Genomic DNA, 16,432 nt, shown 5'->3' on the forward strand with positions numbered 1-16,432 from the left:
ACCCTAAATCTGCAAAATGGTGCTAAAATTGTACCTTTGCCATGGGGTTTTGAGGATCAAATACATTAATATAGTCATGTGTTGCTTAACAATAGGAATATGTTCTGAGAAATGTGTCATTAGGCGATTTTGTCATTGTGTGAACATCATAGAGTGTACTTAACACACACCTAGATGGTATAGCCTGCTGCACACCTAAGCTATATGGTGTAGCCTATTGGCTCCTGGGCTACAAGTGTGTATAGCATGTGAGTGTACTGAATACTGCATGCACTTGTAACACAACGGTAAGTATTTGAGTATCTAAATATATCTAAACATAGAAAAGGTCCACTAAAAATACGATACTATAATCTTTTGAGGCTACCGTTTTATATGCAGTCTGTTGTTGACCAAATGTTGTTATGCAGCACGTAACTGTATAAAGAAAGTACTTAAACAGAGCCTGTTCTTCTGCAGCTTGCCTTTATGTAGCCGAGGTGCTGAGCTCAGTGCCTGGCTGAGATTGTGCTCACTACAGGTTTGCCGCTGTGGCTGGTATTATAATTATAGTGATGATAATATTAAAGATTGGATAGAAATTACAATTGAAATATCATTTGCTCTTGGTACAGAATCTTACTTCCTGTTTTCTTAGATCATTACCTAGCTTATGATACCAAACCTCAAGAAGGCAGATCACATGGTGGGAGGCTCAGACAAGGATTATGAAACCATCAGGGGTGGGAAAAGGAGTGTTGTGCCCACGGACCCCTAGCCTGGAAAGGTGCAGGGATAGGATTTCCAGCAAGGAGCAAGTCAGCAAAGCCTCTGAATCTCAGCGTCCATGGGATGGGGACGTGGCCTGTGAAGAGCTGGTTTTCAGACTTAGGCCTGAACTATTCCTGCTGATGGATGGGAAATCTGGGTGGCTCACTCTTGGTGGAAGAAGAGGCTTGATTTGAGGAGGGTGTTACAGACAGGTGCACTGACGGAACCACAGAATTTCAGCACTGTTTGGAGTTGTGCTGCTAACATTGTGGGGCTGGCATAGGACCTTGGCGTGCTTCACTGGGAGCGACTGACTATAGATGGCTTCCACTCTTGTTTTACTTTAGGGATGAGTCCCAGAGAACTTGTCTTGTTCACAGTCGCATCACTAAGTCAGCAGTGCACAGGGAACTAGAGCTCCATTTCTGTCCTCCTTTCTGTGAGTCCCCAGTGTCACCCAGAGATGTTCAGGAGCCTCTGGGAGCTGACCACAGCCCGGGAGCAGAGGATCCCACTCACTGCTCTTGCGTTCCTCCTGCCTGCCCTTTTAATCTTATCTTTGGAGATGCTGTACACAGCCTTCTGTCAATGTCTCCCAAGGTGAAAGGCATGCTGGCCTGCCATCGAGGACTTAGGGTTAAGCATCTGAAGCTTAATAGAAGCCTGTGTCAACTCAGATCCCCATGGTCTCTAAAAAAACCTGGACCTGAATTTTTTAACGGAGCAGTTGGCATTGGTCCTGTTCAGTTTCTTCCTTGCTCCTTAGCTGTTCCTCAATTTTGGTCACGTATGGAGTTTAAATTTCTCCTCTTGAATTGTGCAGGTAACGATGGGAAAGGAACTCCTGTATTCACAGGGGAGGTTGACTGCACCTACTTCTTCACATGGGACACGGAATACGCCTGTGTTAAGGAGAAGGAAGACCTCCTCTGCGGTGCCACCGACGGGAAGAAGCGCTATGACCTGTCCGCGCTGGTCCGCCATGCAGGTACTGCCCTCCTTGCCATGCGGGTCTTAGTCCACATGCTCATGGAACATTTTCCCATGAGTACTTTTGGAAATGCGGTTACTATTTTCTTTGTCAGTGGGTTGCGTCACAGCCCTCCCCCAGTTTTTTCATGTGGCTGTGTGAATTATTAGAAGGAGCATTGGACTGGGAGGTGAAATAACTGAATTTGAGACCAGCATTTTTGACCTTGTGTTTTCACCCTTTTACACACTGCCTCTCTTCCATCTCTGAGGTGGGATCTGCAGCCTCTGCCCCCTGGGGTTCTTCTGTTTGGATCCTCTAGGCAGATGGATGTGCACCTTGGGCTGCTGTTCACCGCTGCCTCAGCGTGCAGTGGGCTTGTACTCGAGGCTGAGCTTGCTGTTGCACGGCAGGCACCGGATGAGGTGCCAAGGAGGCAGCAGCGCCCCCCACAGCACAACCCCTGTCCTTGGGGGCCTGGAATTTAGCAGGAAACAGAGCAGGTGGAATAATAAGAATGGGAGTCTCAAGCAGGGATAATCTGATGGGGGGGATTTCTGGTTTTACCCTCTTGGCAGCTCAAATTAGGTGTACAGAAGCCAGTTGCCTCTGTAAGGGGGAGATGACCCGAAGCAGAGAGAATGACTTGCCTCATGTAATTACCACCCAGAACAGTCACAGAACTGCTGGCGGTATGTTCTCGCTCGTAAGTGGGAGTTGAACATTGAGAACACATGGGCACAGAGGGGAACAGCACACACCATGGCCTGTTTAGGGTTGGGGGTGAGGGGAGGGAACTTAGAGGATGGATCAGTAGGTGCAGCAAACCACCATGGCACATGTATACCTATGTAACAAACCTGCACGTTCTCCACATGTATCTTGTTTTTTTTTAAAGAAAAATAAAACTGCCAGGGTGACAGCACTGCTGCTCCTGTCTTCTGAGTCCCACCTGGTTTGCTAAATACCAGGTTAGAAAGAGGAATCCCTCTTGTGGAGTGTTTGAGAACCTGCCTCACTGTGAACCGCCTGGGCAGGGAGTGCTGGCAGTGCTGTTGTGGTTAAACACCCTGTGTGCTGCTGGGAACGGTGCCATAGTTAATTCTGGCACATGTGTGCTAGTGAAGACATTGGTTTTCTGTGAAGTGGAAAGAGTTCTAGCTGCAGAGTTGGAGACCTGGCTGAGGACTGGTGTTGCCGCATCCAACCACATTTGCTTGAGCGAGCTGCTCTCCAGGCCCGGGTTTCTTACGGTGAACTGGGTGGTGCTGTTAGATTCCTTAAGTTAACTTTTTTTTTTTTAAACATTACTGTGTATAAGAGACAACCTAGGATCTATGAGATAAGGAGAGATACATTTTTCAATCTACAGACTTCCTGACATAGCTCTGGTTTCTTGGAATCTGCAGTATTTCGTGGTATTTGTGCGTAGATAGCCCTAAGTAAATTATGAAGGGAGAGCTAAAACCATTCCTTACTGCTTGAAGAAGTCCCTTAAGACTTTACAGCCCACCTGGCTCCACCCCAGACTTCCAGTGTTTAGGGCAGGTCCTTGTTCACATGCACAGTCTTGTATGGTTTCTTTTAGGCTGTTGACATTGGAAAGTACTTCTCCAAATGTACTGTATCACCACTGATGAGTCATGGGGTTTTGCCTTCCAAACCCCAGTACCCAACCTGCAAAGGGAGCATTTTCAAATGAGAACGTGTATTTTTATATCTTTACCTCCTCCTTGACACACTTTGTAAGTTACTCCTTCAGCGACTGTTCGCCGTGTGGTTTGCTTTTTGTGGATGCCCTCGCCCTTGCTTGCTGTGCTGGTGACACTCAGCTGGTGCCCCCTCACGTCCTGCAGGTGCCTAATCAGTGTCTGATCACACTGACCAGCTCACCAGTCTTGTGAGTTCAGCGGCCACCTGTGGTACCTTGCTTGTCTTCTGTGGTAGCATGCATTGCATCCTGCACTCAGTCTGCAGATGTGTAAGAGGTTGCTGGTTTCTTTTAGCTTCACAGGCCTTCACAGGGGCCGAGCGGGGTGTATTAGCAATGGTGTTAAGCGGGGTGTACTAGCAATGATGTACCACTCTACTGCGTCCCAAGACACAGGCTGGCTTCTTGATTTGGGTTTTCAGTTTCTAATTTCATACTGTGGGGCTTGGGAGAATTTTGCCGTTCAGTTCTCTGTCCCCCAGTTGGGCCTACTCTTCTGAAGAAGTATTGGGATGTAGTTTGTTTCTGTCACATTAAATGAGAAACCTGAGAATCTCGGTGAATTTTTGTGCTTTCAGTCTGCCCGGGTTCCAGAAACAGCGCTGGGGATTGAGTGACGAAGTGGTTTGGGAACTTTGAGCCCTTGACTTTTGGCTTAATCACTATTTATTCTGTGACTCAGAGAAATCAGCATTGCTTTTGGCTAAAATACACTTTTGTTTTGTTACAGAACCAGAGCAGAATTGGGAAGCTGTGGATGGCAGTCAGACGGAAACAGAGAAGAAGCATTTTTTCATTAATATTTGTCACAGAGTGCTGCAGGAAGGCAAGGCACGAGGGTGTCCCGAGGACGCGGCAGTGTGTGCAGTGGGTGAGTTGTGCCTGGATGGAAGATCTAGGTGATGCTTTTCTAGGGCATCCAGTTTGGAATGAGTTAGAAGATCTTTCTGTGGTTCATCTAAGCCTCCTCTTTCTATAATCACATGAAGGATGGTAAAAATTTTTCATTCATAACTCAAATGTCAGTAATTGCTTGATGCACTCTGGAATCCTGAAGTTGGCTAGAGCTCCCTGACATGGGCTAAAGCCATAACTGGGAACAGAAGGAACCACGTGGAAAATACTACATCATCTTTTTAGTTTGTAACCTGAAGAATAACATTGCCAGTGTTTGTGTACAAGTGATTTTATTTTATTTTTTAACAACTTTATTGCCTAGAATCGTTCAAAAGTTATGGCTTGAGTGAAGTGTAATCTCAGCTGTAGCCCTAGTGTAAGAGGGGCTTGCATGCTTCGCTTCCTTTTGCTGTCATTGTTTTGGTCCCGTAGCTGTCATGCAGAGACTTCTCAATTATTTGATACAGGTATTTAGCACTTCATTTTTGTCATTTATGACTCACTTTGAAAATGCCAGGCTATGAGAATAGTGAGAATCTGTTAAAAGCATTCAATAAGGAATTGTGAGCCTCGTTGGATTTTAGGAATTATCTCGGTATTCAGAATTGCTGGTGTGTCTTTAAAAGCAGGTTCAGGCATGTCCATGTCTTTACTAAGAAGGACTTTGGAACAGAGTTTTAATCCTTTATAACAAAAAGCAAGTGAACTAAGAAGTAAGCGGCCTCCTGCTTGGGTTGCTAAACAGGTTTCGTTAATTTCTGCTTTGGATATGAGACACATTCTCACCCTTTGGCTGTGTGGCTGTGCTTTCAAAAGACTTTGTGTCTTGGGGTAGCTGAAGCCCTGACAGTAGGGGACAATGTCAGTTTACAGTTGGTGCTGATGCATGTTGCAAGCCATTTGGTCTTTCTTGCCCTGGAAGGGCATTGTGCATCCTTCATGGCGCTTTCTGGCTGAACCTATGGATGACCCTGGAGGACCCCAATGTGGCTGTTAATGTCTAGCCAAACGTGGCACTCTAGGGAAACCCATCCGCTGCCTTGGTGGGTTCAGGGGGCTGGAGAAGGGCTGCACGTGCTGGGTTTGGGCTGATTTCTTTCTTTCTTTCTCTTTCTTTCTTTTTTTTTTAAGTCACTTCTTTGTCTGCGTGATGATCATTTTTAACCACATCTTCTGTTTTCTCCCCCTTTCTCTTCCAGATAAAAATGGAAGTAAAAATCTGGGAAAATTTATTTCCTCTCCCATGAAAGAGAAAGGAAACATTCAACTCTCTTATTCAGATGGTGATGATTGTGGTCATGGCAAGAAAATTAAAACTAATATCACACTTGTATGCAAGCCAGGTAAAAATTTTAAAAAAGATGAAATCTTTTCTGGCTTCTGCCAGAGGTCCTGCATTCTTCATATCTCTGTTCCTCATCAGTCACTGCAAAGCTGATCAGACAGATTGGCATGGTGTTCAGCATTTTGAGTTCCAGACTCTGGCGATGGGAGATAGGTCATTTGGAATTTTTCCCTCATCCCCTCCTCAAAACCAAATCAGAAATGGAGAAACCAGATGGTGTCAGAAGGGAGTTGTGGGTCTCAGCGCTGTATCCTCTTCCTCGGGACTGATACTCGGCCAGTCATGTGGTTACTTAACTTCCTTCAAAGGGGAAAAAAATCATAAATGGTTTAAAACATTGCCCGTGATCTCACCACTTAAACACAATGTTAATTTTCATTACCTTTATTTATAGATGTATGTTGTTTTTACCAAGTCAAAATTTTTATGGTAACAAATCTTAATGTTTCTCAAAGTGTAGTATTTTGTAAATACTTTTCTATGTTTCACAGTTCCATTAATAATTTTTAGGAACTTCCTTGTTGACATGGTGTGGTTTTACTATTTTTGAACATTTTCCTTATTGTTGGATTAATAGCGCGTTTCCAGTGTTGCTAATTGTGCTATTATGTATCCTCTCTCTACCTCCCATTGAAATATTTCCTTTGGATAAGTTCCCAGCTGTGGGATAAAGTCAGAAGCTAGGGTCATTTTGTTTGTTTGTTTTATATGGTAAAATATACAACATAACGTAAAATGTACCATCCTAACTGCTTTTAAGTGTGTAGCTTGGTGACATTGTTGTGTAATACCACCACCATCCATCTCCAGAACTTTTTGATCCTCCCAGACTGAAACTCAGTTCCCATTAAACACGAGCTCTCCATTCCCTCTCTTCTACTTTTTGTCTCTACGGATTTGACTGTTCTAGATACCTCATATAGGTGGAATGCTACAGTATTTGTAGGGCTGTTTTTTGACCCTTCTATGCATTATACCTCATTTCCCACTGTCCCTTCCAAGTCTACTTCTAGCAGAGAAGAATGAGGTAAGATATTTTAGGAATGAACGGATTAGTGATCCCCATCTCTTTTCCCCATTGACAGGTGATCTGGAAAGTGCACCAGTGTTGAGAACTTCTGGGGAAGGCGGTTGCTTTTATGAGTTTGAGTGGCACACAGCTGCGGCCTGTGTGCTGTCTAAGACAGAAGGGGAGAACTGCACGGTCTTTGACTCCCAGGCAGGTCTGTGTCCAAGCAGGACCTCTGCTTTAATGTGACTTGGAACCACTTAAGGTTTTTTCCTTAACATTCTGTGTGAGGTTTTCAAGGTGACCCGCCTTAGAATTTTATTCATGCTGTTTGAACAAAATTCTGAACATCCGATGTTTGAGGCTTATTTGAGATACTGAAAATACTATCTTAAATTCATTATTGAGGTGGTTTTGCTGAATGCAAAACCTTCGGAACACAAGGGAATAAATTATGTTTGAAAAGGCTTTCGTGTGAATTCTAGGCAAGAAACCTCTCTGAGGGAGACCTTACAAGAAGGCCATAATATCATGCTCGTCCTACTTTGAACATGCTGTTGTTTATTAGCCCAGCAGTTATGGGCTTTGAATAGCGCTTTAGGCTAACCCAGTAGAAGGGAATGGTGGAGTTGGATCCATCTCCAAGGAAAATGTTAGTAATCGCGGTTCTGGTGGCCTCAAGGGGCAGCGTCTCTTCTGCCTCCTCCACTTCTTCCTGCCGTTGGGAACCTCCTGGGAAGAACCTCTCCCTTTCAAACTGTGGGGTGAGACCACTCTGTTAACTGTCGGACTGACCTTCCATACTTTTATTGTTTTTATTCTTTCTTAGGGTTTTCTTTTGACTTATCACCTCTCACAAAGAAAAATGGTGCCTATAAAGTTGAGACAAAGAAGTATGACTTTTATATAAATGTGTGTGGCCCGGTGTCTGTGAGCCCCTGTCAGCCAGACTCAGGAGCCTGCCAGGTGGCAAAAAGGCAAGTAGCTTCTCAGTTCTGTTTCATTCTTAGGCATTATATGCTAAGAAATATTATTTTCAGGAATAGGTGTGTTCTCACTTAATGTCATTGCTTTATGACAAGCATTTAAATACTGATGAGACCTGGTCTGAAAACTGAAGGATGTTAGGAGTTTAATTTCCCAGAGAAAGGAGCAGGCCCATCCTTGGGAAAGAAGGGTGGATTGAGGTTATGCCTCACTATTGCGCATTTTGTGCTTCTCAGTGCCTAGATATCTCTGTGCGTATTTCTGCATTCTGCGTAACTGCAGTTCAAATGAAGTGAGTTGTCTAAACCAGCGGTGCCAAGAGGAGATTTGGGTCCCAGTGTTCCTGCTGCCGTTGGAGACCTTGTGTGGGTTCCTGTGGTCTGCAGCCCGGGCCTGGTTCTGGTGACTCCTCACGTCGCTCACGGGCCCTCCCTTCAGTGTGGCAGCCTTGGAGTGCTTCTGCCCCTCAGGTCTTTGCTGAGAGAAACGTGTGTTTATTTCAGTGATGAGAAGACTTGGAACTTGGGTCTGAGTAATGCGAAGCTTTCATATTATGATGGGATGATCCAACTGAACTACAGAGGCGGCACACCCTATAACAATGAAAGACACACACCGAGAGCTACGCTCATCACCTTTCTCTGTGATCGAGACGCGGGAGTGGGCTTCCCTGAATATCAGGTAGGAATGTTTGTTCCTCATCGCGCTCCCTGAGGATACTCATGCCTGTGGTGGGCCTTTCATTTAAGCAGAGCTTGTATCAGTCTGGGTTTCCAGCCAAATCATCACCGTCATTAGATTTGCCAGGGTGCCTGGGCAGTATTAGTATTTTAAGCTGTTTATTTAGTGGGTTGTGCACCTTAATAACAGCCCACAAGCCTGTCAGTTTTGGGTACAAAACATACAAAAGCATAAAAAAAAATCCTGAATTAACCCCCACTTAGCAGAGGCTAAATTTTCATCCTGATTTGTTACTGGACAGTCTTCTTTTTAATAAAATGAAGGGAGATGGGCAGACTAAGCTTTTCTTCACAGTTTCTCATTGGGAACATTGCTCTCGTCCTTTTTTGAATCCTGGTTTTATGTCACGTGTCTTTCTCTTTTTGCCATCCCTCCGCGCATCTGCCGTGGATTAGGAAGAGGATAACTCCACCTACAACTTCCGGTGGTACACCAGCTATGCCTGCCCGGAGGAGCCCCTGGAATGCGTAGTGACCGACCCCTCCACGCTGGAGCAGTACGACCTCTCCAGGTGAGGCAGAGTCAGCTGCTCTGTTTTTGGCCTGGTACAGATGCTGAGGTTGCAAGTGTTGCTGGTGAGCGTGTGACTGAGCTGATGATGGGGAGTGATGCTGGCTGTGGGGCTGCAGGACCAAGGTGGGGCATTTTCAGCAGAGTGAATTCTAATAACTGTCTGGTCGCCTTTGGGATAGCAACCAGTCTTGGCCACAGCAGAGCCTCGGCCTTTAGCTTCATCATTTAAAACAATGACTGTCAGTGCAGAGGCACGGGGGACAGTTAAGGTCCACTGCATACTGAGTTCAGCGAAGGTGGAGTGTAATCCTGGTGCGTCATGCGCCCAGACAAGCCAACTCCTGGTAGTGTGATTGGTGGAGCATGTTTTATTTGGTAGCTTTACTTCCCCAACTACATAGAAATAAATGAGACTGAAATGTGTAAGCTCTTTAAAAGCATATACATTTTGCTTTGAAATTTTAGTCTGGCAAAATCTGAAGGTGGCCTTGGAGGAAACTGGTATGCCATGGACAACTCAGGGGAACATGTCACGTGGAGGAAATACTACATTAACGTGTGTCGGCCTCTGAATCCAGTGCCGGGCTGCAACCGATATGCATCGGCTTGCCAGATGAAGTATGAAAAAGATCAGGTGAATCTGTTTTCACTGCTTGTCTCCTTTGCCCTCCTAATTCCATGACTTAGTGGGAGGAGGTGGTTATTCTGGGACATCCAGATCAAAGGCAGCACAGCTGCTCGAGAGAAACCCTCTGAGTAGGAGTGGGGCCTCCATGTGAACTCATCTGCCTCCTGTAGGAGCAGAAGTGTGTCACACAGGAATCATTGTTCACATGGAGAATGCTGTGTTGCAGACTTTTGATCACACAAAGGGCAGAGGAAGCACCGAATGGTTATGTCTAGCCTGAATTCAAAAGTGTCTTTAGGTGCTTTCAGCAGACACCTGTGAAAAAGAGAGTTTTGCTTCCAAAAGCTCTTGTTTCTGGATTGATTAGGGGGAAAAACCGATTTGGGAGAGTTGCTGTGGATGAACCAGATTCAAGCACACGCTCTCATTCGCTGCAGTTCGTCCCTGGGTTGAATGCAGTCACCGCCAGAACATTTACCCGTCTCCTGTGGTCGTTGTACGTGGTGAATCTTAAAAGAGATGTCTCTGGACATCTGTATTGGCTTCTGTAAAAATAGCATGTTGGGAATGTACTTTTCTTGGTGTATGCTAATGGCAGCTTGGAGGTTTTTGAAAGGAAGGTGGCAAGTGTGCTCTGGTGGTTAGGAATCGAGTTCCTGGTTGTGTTTACCTCTGCACATGTGTGTTCTTTACTGGAGCAATGAGTTCAGTGTATAGTCAGTCCTCTTTATTCACAGATTCTGCATCTGTGAACTTGCCTACTTGAGAACACGTGTAACTCCAAAATCACCACGCGGAACACTTTCTCAGTCATTGTTGGAACGAGTGTAGTGGCCCAATGTGCATAGTACCCGACAAGCCTGTTCCTGGTTGAAGTTGAACAGGGGGACACTCTGGCCTCTTGTTTCTGCCTCACCCTGAGATGAGCAGGGGATGGAGAGGGCGAGGCAGTGCAGTGCAAAAGCTCCAGCCCTGGGGCCAGTTGGACGGGGTCTGAATTCCAACTCTGGCATCTCAACTCAGAGATGCTCCAGAGCTGGAACTTCCGCGCTGCACTGCCTGGTAAGGTCTCCCTAAGAGAAGTTTCTTGCCTAGAATTCACACTAAAGCCTTTTCAAACATGACTTACTCCCTTGTGTTCGGAAAGTTTAGCGGGGCAGCCTTAGGTGAGCCACTTAACACTCCTTAACCTCGTTTTTCCTTCTGTAAAATAAAGAGAGTAGAATCTGTCAGCATGAGTTGTCTTGGGATTTCAGATTTATAATCTGTGTGTAATAGGTTTGTTTGCCTGATGTGCGGCCAGTCAGTACGCTGAGACATTGGGGATTACAGCCGAGAAAGAGTTTAATTGTAGGGCAGGCGAATGAGGAGATGAGAAGAAACCTCAAATTCACCTCCCTAAGGAATTTGGGTTGAGGGACTTAAGGGATTTGGAGCGGGCCAAGGTGTGGGGATTGTTTATTGGTAGAAGAGTGCAGGGTGAAGTCATCGGATGGGGAGATGAAGAAACTGCATTTGGTTCCCTGTAGGGAGGTCTTCATAGTGGTTAGTGTCAGCCGTTCCACCGGAATTCAGGATCTGAAGAACATCTTACACGATTATTGAACGAAAGCCTTATGATTCCAATGCCAGTGATTCTTTCTGTAGCAATAATGGGGATGTGACTAGTATCTAGTGCTATGTGACTTTCAGTTACAGGCCAGCATGCAGCCTGATTGGTGCTCAATTGCATGCCTGGAACGCAGCATGCAGTTGTTGTTAACTCTTTGAGGATGGTTTCCTATTCCATATGTAATAAGGGGATTTCCCCAGGAGCAGTGGTTCTGTATTCAATAATTCATTGTTTGCTGCAGCTTTATAGAATGTAACCACCACCAATAACGAATCGACTGTATCTTCAGGGGGAAAAGCCTAACAAGACTGGTTTTCTTGCAGGGCTCCTTCACTGAAGTGGTTTCCATCAGTAACTTGGGAATGGCAAAGACCGGCCCGGTGGTTGAGGACAGCGGCAGCCTCCTTCTGGAATACGTGAATGGGTCGGCCTGCACCACCAGCGATGGCAGACAGACCACATATACCACGAGGATCCATCTCGTCTGCTCCAGGGGCAGGCTGGTAAGGCACTGCTGCTGGCTGGTGACCTTCACTGCTGCATTTTTTGACTGAGCGTTGCCTTATGTGTCTCTTAACAGCAGCAGTCTTGGGGTGGGTGGCGGAGCTAGGCCAGTCTTAGTTCTGCTTAAGGTCAGTGTGCGGTATATATGTTCACAGGCAGGGAGTGATTTGTGGTACCTTCATGGCTGCGATTTCTGAAGTGTAAGCCTCATCTTTTGCTGCGGAGTTTGAGGCTCTGGTGACATACACTGTTTCCTGGATTTTTTTTCTGAGTCGTACAGACATTATCTTGCCTCTTAGTTCTTGTGAGTTGAGGATCGTGGCAGTGGAACGGGGCTTAGAGATAGTTTGGTCCTGTAGGGGCCAAGGGAAAGCTTCCCTTTCACCCTTTGAAGTTTCCCTGAAAATCAGCTGTCAACAGGAGAAAAGACATTAAAATTTTGACGTGCATAGCACCGGGGAATAAATAGCAGGAGAAAGATGACCCAGTAGCCTAATGCAACACAGAAGGTTATGTACCCTATTTCACAGGGGAGAGGGAGATAGGGGATGTAGACAGTTCTTTTGACGGGGCAGCAAATGATTATTTGGGAGAAAGAATGGACAGAAATTAACTTGCAAATGATTCTCTTTGGAGCCTGAATGAGGAAGGCATTATCTTGTGCACAAGTCTGTCCAGGTGTGATTGCTGTCCTCAGTCTTCTTTTGTGGGATAGATAATGAGATTTCCGAGTTTCTTTTGGAAAGAAGCCTTCTTGGTCAGGTAAGGAAATTCCAGAGAAAGTCTCTCCCTGTGCTTGAGGGTGGAGGTAACAAGGCACGGTTCAAAGGATGACCTTGATTCTCAGGCAGCTTCTCAGCATGTCAAAGCACTGATCCTTGGGGTATTGCTTTCTGAGCCCCAGCAGTCCAAACCACAAAGACCACAGATAGGAATCTGAGGCTTGGTATAGCTCAGGCCTGTGGGTGAACGATGAGGGCTGTATGTGTAATACAAAACAGGAATAAGAAATTAAGGCTGAGGGCTGGGCACAGTGGTTCAGATCTAACCCAGCACTGTGGAAGGCCAACATGGGAAGATCACTCACTTGAGGACAGGAATTGGTGACCAGCCTAGGCAACATAGTGAGACCCCATCTACAAAAAATTTAAAAAAAAATTTAGCCAAGTGTGGTGGCTCATGCCTGTAGTCCCAGTTACTCTGGAGGCTGAGGCAGGAGGATTCCTTGAGCCCAGGAGGTTGAGGATTCAGTGAGCCATGATTGCACTGCAGCCTGGGAGACAAAGCGAGCCCCTGTCTCAAAAAAAAAAAATTGGGAGGCAGAGGTAGGAGGATTGTTTGAGCCCAGGAGTCTCAGACTAGCCTGGGCAACTTAGTGAGACCCCATCTCTACAAAAAATTAGCCAAGTGTGGTGATGTGCACCTGTAGTCCTGGCTACTTGGGAGGCTGAGGTGGGAGGATCACTTGAGCCCAGGAGGCAGAGATTGCAGTGAGCTGAGGATGTGCTACTATACTGCAGCCCCTTGGCAACAGAGCAAGATCCTGTTTCAAAATAGTAATCATATAAACAACTTCAGCAAAGTCTCAGGATACAAAATCAAGGTGCAAAAATCACAAGCATTCCTATACACCATTAACAGACAAAGAGAGCCAAATCATGAGTGAACTCCCATTCACAATTGCTACAGAGAGAATAAAATACCTAGGAATCCAACTTACAAGGGATGTGAAGAACCTCTTCAAGGAGAACTACAAACCACTGCTCAAGGAAATAAAAGAGGACACAAACAAATGGAAGAATATTCCATGCTCATGGATAGGAAGAATCAGTGTCATGAAAATGGCCATACTGCCCAAAGTAATTTGTAGATTCAATACCATCCCCATCAAGCTACCAATGGTTTTCTTCACAGAATTGGAAAAAACTACTTTAAAGTTCATATGGAACCAAAAAAGAGCCCACATTGCCAAGACAATCCTAAGCAAAAAGAACAAAGCTGGAGGCATCATGCTACCTGACTTCAAACTATGCTACAAGGCTACAATAACCAAAACAGCATGGTACTGGTGCAAAACAGATATATAGACCAATGGAACCGAACAGAGTCCTCAGAAATAACACCACACATCTACAACCATCTGATCTTTGACAAACCTGACAAAAACAAGAAATGGGGAAAGGATTCCCTATTTAATAAATGGTGCTGGGAAAACTGGCTAGCCATATGTAGAAAGCTGAAACTGGATCCCTTCCTTACACCTGAGACAAAATTAATTCAAGATGGATTAAAGACTTAAATGTTAGACCTAAAACCATAAAAACCCTAGAAGAAAACCTAAGCAATACCATTCAGGACATAAGCATGGGCAAGGACTTCATGACTAAAACACCAAAAGCAATGGCAACAAAAGCCAGAATAGACAAATGGGATCTAATTAAACTAAAGACCTTCTGCACGGCAAAAGAAGCATGGATGAAGCTGGAAACCGTCATTCTCAGCAAACTATCATAAGGACAGAAAACCAAACACTGCATGTTCTCACTTATAGGTGGGAATTGAACAAGGAGATCACTTGGACACACGGTGGGGAACATCACACACCAGGGCCTGTTGGGGGCTGGGGGGGAGGGATAGCATTAGGAGAAATACCTAAATTAAATGATGAGTTGATGGGTGCAGCAAACCAACATGGCACATGTATACCTATGTATCAAACCTGCATGTTGTGCACATGTACCCTAGAACTTAACATATAATAAAAAAAGGTATTAAAAATAATAATAATAAAATGAATTAAGGCTAGGAGGTAGAGGAGGTGAGTGGGATTGATGTTGGCCCTGAGTTCCTTAGCCAGGGGACAACAGCAGACTGTGTGGAGTTTGCTCTGCTCTTCTCTCCATGGAAATGCTTTGGGGCCATTTTATACAGTCCCAATTGCTTCTGTTTTTTAATTGGGGTAAAATATATATAACATTAAACTGACCATTCTGACTGTCTTTGGGTTACATATATTATACACATCTCTGGTGTCCTGTATTTATCACCAGTATCCATGTCCAGGACTTTTACAGGGTCTTGCTGTGTCACCCAGGCTAGCGTGTAGTGGGTGTAATCATTGCTCACTGAATCACTGCAGCCTCGACTTCCTGGGCTCAAGTGACCCTGTCACCTCAGCCTCCTGAGTAGCTGGAACTACAGGTGGAGTTACCTGTAGTTATCAAAATGGTTTTTAAATTTTTTGAAGAGATGGGGGGTCTGTCTATGTGGCCCAAGCTGGTCTTAGAACTCCTAGGTTCAAGCAGTCCTCCTGCCTCAGCTTCCTAAAGTGCTGGGATTATAGGTATGAGCCACCATACACAGCCTAGAAGTTTTTTGATGGTCTCAAATCTAATTTGGAAAGGAGAGCTTTATTTCTCATAAAGATTTGCAGCCTGCAGGGTGGCCATTTCTGACAGGCTGGGAAGTGTAGCCTCAGGCCAGAAGCCAGAAACAAGCGCTGGGAGGGAGGAAGACTAAGACACGAATGGATGCTGAACAGGTTAGTCAAGTATACATATTCAGCAGGTTACAGGAGCAGCTATGCATATTCACGAAGGGATGGCACACACATGCGTGGTAGGCAACATGTATGCAGCATGTGTCCCCATGTTCATTTTGGGTTGAAGACATAACATTTAAATATATTACAGTTGGGCCCTGTATGTCGAAAGGTGAAGCAGAGGACATGAAGGCCCTCTGTGTGCAGCCTCCTTAGAAGGCCAGGACCACCTGGGAGTTGTGGTCTCTTATCAGCAGGGAATGCTGGTCGATTGTTGTGTTGTCAGAACCACAAAAAGGGATGGACGTTGTCAGGTGGTAGGTTGATACCAGCAGCAGAGTCTTTCAAAAGGGTCGGCTTCTGTTTAGCACTTAGGGAAGAAAGCCTAGTGGTTAACGAGGAAAGGGGTGTAATGGGGTATGTCTCACCTCCCACCCCGTCATGGACAGGAATGCAATTTTTAAGTTTCTCTGGAGTCCCCTTGGCTAAGAGTGGGGTGTGTTCAGTCAGTTATGGGGCTTAGGATTTTATTTTCATTTCTTATTACCTGTAGTTTTAGGTTTATACCAGGGTCATGTGTTTTTGAGAAATTATCAAATGGTTAGGAGAGTGGAGAGACTGGAAGCCATGTTCATTATCAACTAAATTATTAACAATCCCTTGTTAAGGGTGTGTGGCAGCTTCCTCAAGCCCCACTGAAATGAGCCAGCAGGATGCGTTCTTTCCCTGCAGTGGCCCAGTGGACGCTGCGTCACTCACCTGCCTGGTCTGCTTTGTCATTGGCTAACACTCTTTTTCCTGAGAGACACTTCCTTTAGAGTTGAAGATCTCGGTGATCAGGGAATGAATGACGGGCAGGCTGAGCTTGGCCCATGCTCTCTGCGGGAGGTGTTCTACCCAGGTTGTACACACTCTCCTTGGGTTCACCTGAGCTTGGGCCGCCCACTTCTTCTCTCAGTCTCAGGAAGGATCCAGGTTTGGTGTTCCACGGGGAGATGCCTAGGTTGCCCAGTTCAGCCTGCTGGTCTGTTTTTGGGCACATCTGTGCATTCCCTGCCTGTGGACTGCCCCCTCCTTCTCTGGTTTCTTGTTGCCATTGAGACACTGGGTAGTTCCAGAAAGTTCTTGGACCCTTGGTTTTCCAGCTTTTCTGTGATACCATATTTAGTTTACAGGGTAGCTTCACATTGTTGTCGTGTCTCTCAGCACTCATATAGGGCCTGC

The 16,432-nt window shown here is 45.5% G+C and overlaps 1 protein-coding gene across 1 annotated transcript in view; it reads left to right on the forward strand.

The window, feature by feature from the left end:
* Positions 1 to 16,432, forward strand: part of IGF2R (insulin like growth factor 2 receptor) — a 142,423-nt gene that overhangs the window by 69,905 nt on the left and 56,086 nt on the right. The window contains exons 11-19 of the mRNA NM_000876.4: positions 1,574 to 1,738; positions 4,162 to 4,302; positions 5,528 to 5,671; positions 6,759 to 6,896; positions 7,512 to 7,659; positions 8,173 to 8,350; positions 8,806 to 8,921; positions 9,389 to 9,557; positions 11,487 to 11,666. Coding sequence (NP_000867.3) covers positions 1,574 to 1,738; positions 4,162 to 4,302; positions 5,528 to 5,671; positions 6,759 to 6,896; positions 7,512 to 7,659; positions 8,173 to 8,350; positions 8,806 to 8,921; positions 9,389 to 9,557; positions 11,487 to 11,666 — 1,379 coding nt within the window. The remainder of the gene's footprint in view (positions 1 to 1,573; positions 1,739 to 4,161; positions 4,303 to 5,527; positions 5,672 to 6,758; positions 6,897 to 7,511; positions 7,660 to 8,172; positions 8,351 to 8,805; positions 8,922 to 9,388; positions 9,558 to 11,486; positions 11,667 to 16,432) is intronic.

The sequence above is a fragment of the Homo sapiens genome, chromosome 6 (genome assembly GCF_000001405.40).
Source record: "Homo sapiens chromosome 6, GRCh38.p14 Primary Assembly".
NCBI lineage: Eukaryota > Metazoa > Chordata > Mammalia > Primates > Hominidae > Homo > Homo sapiens.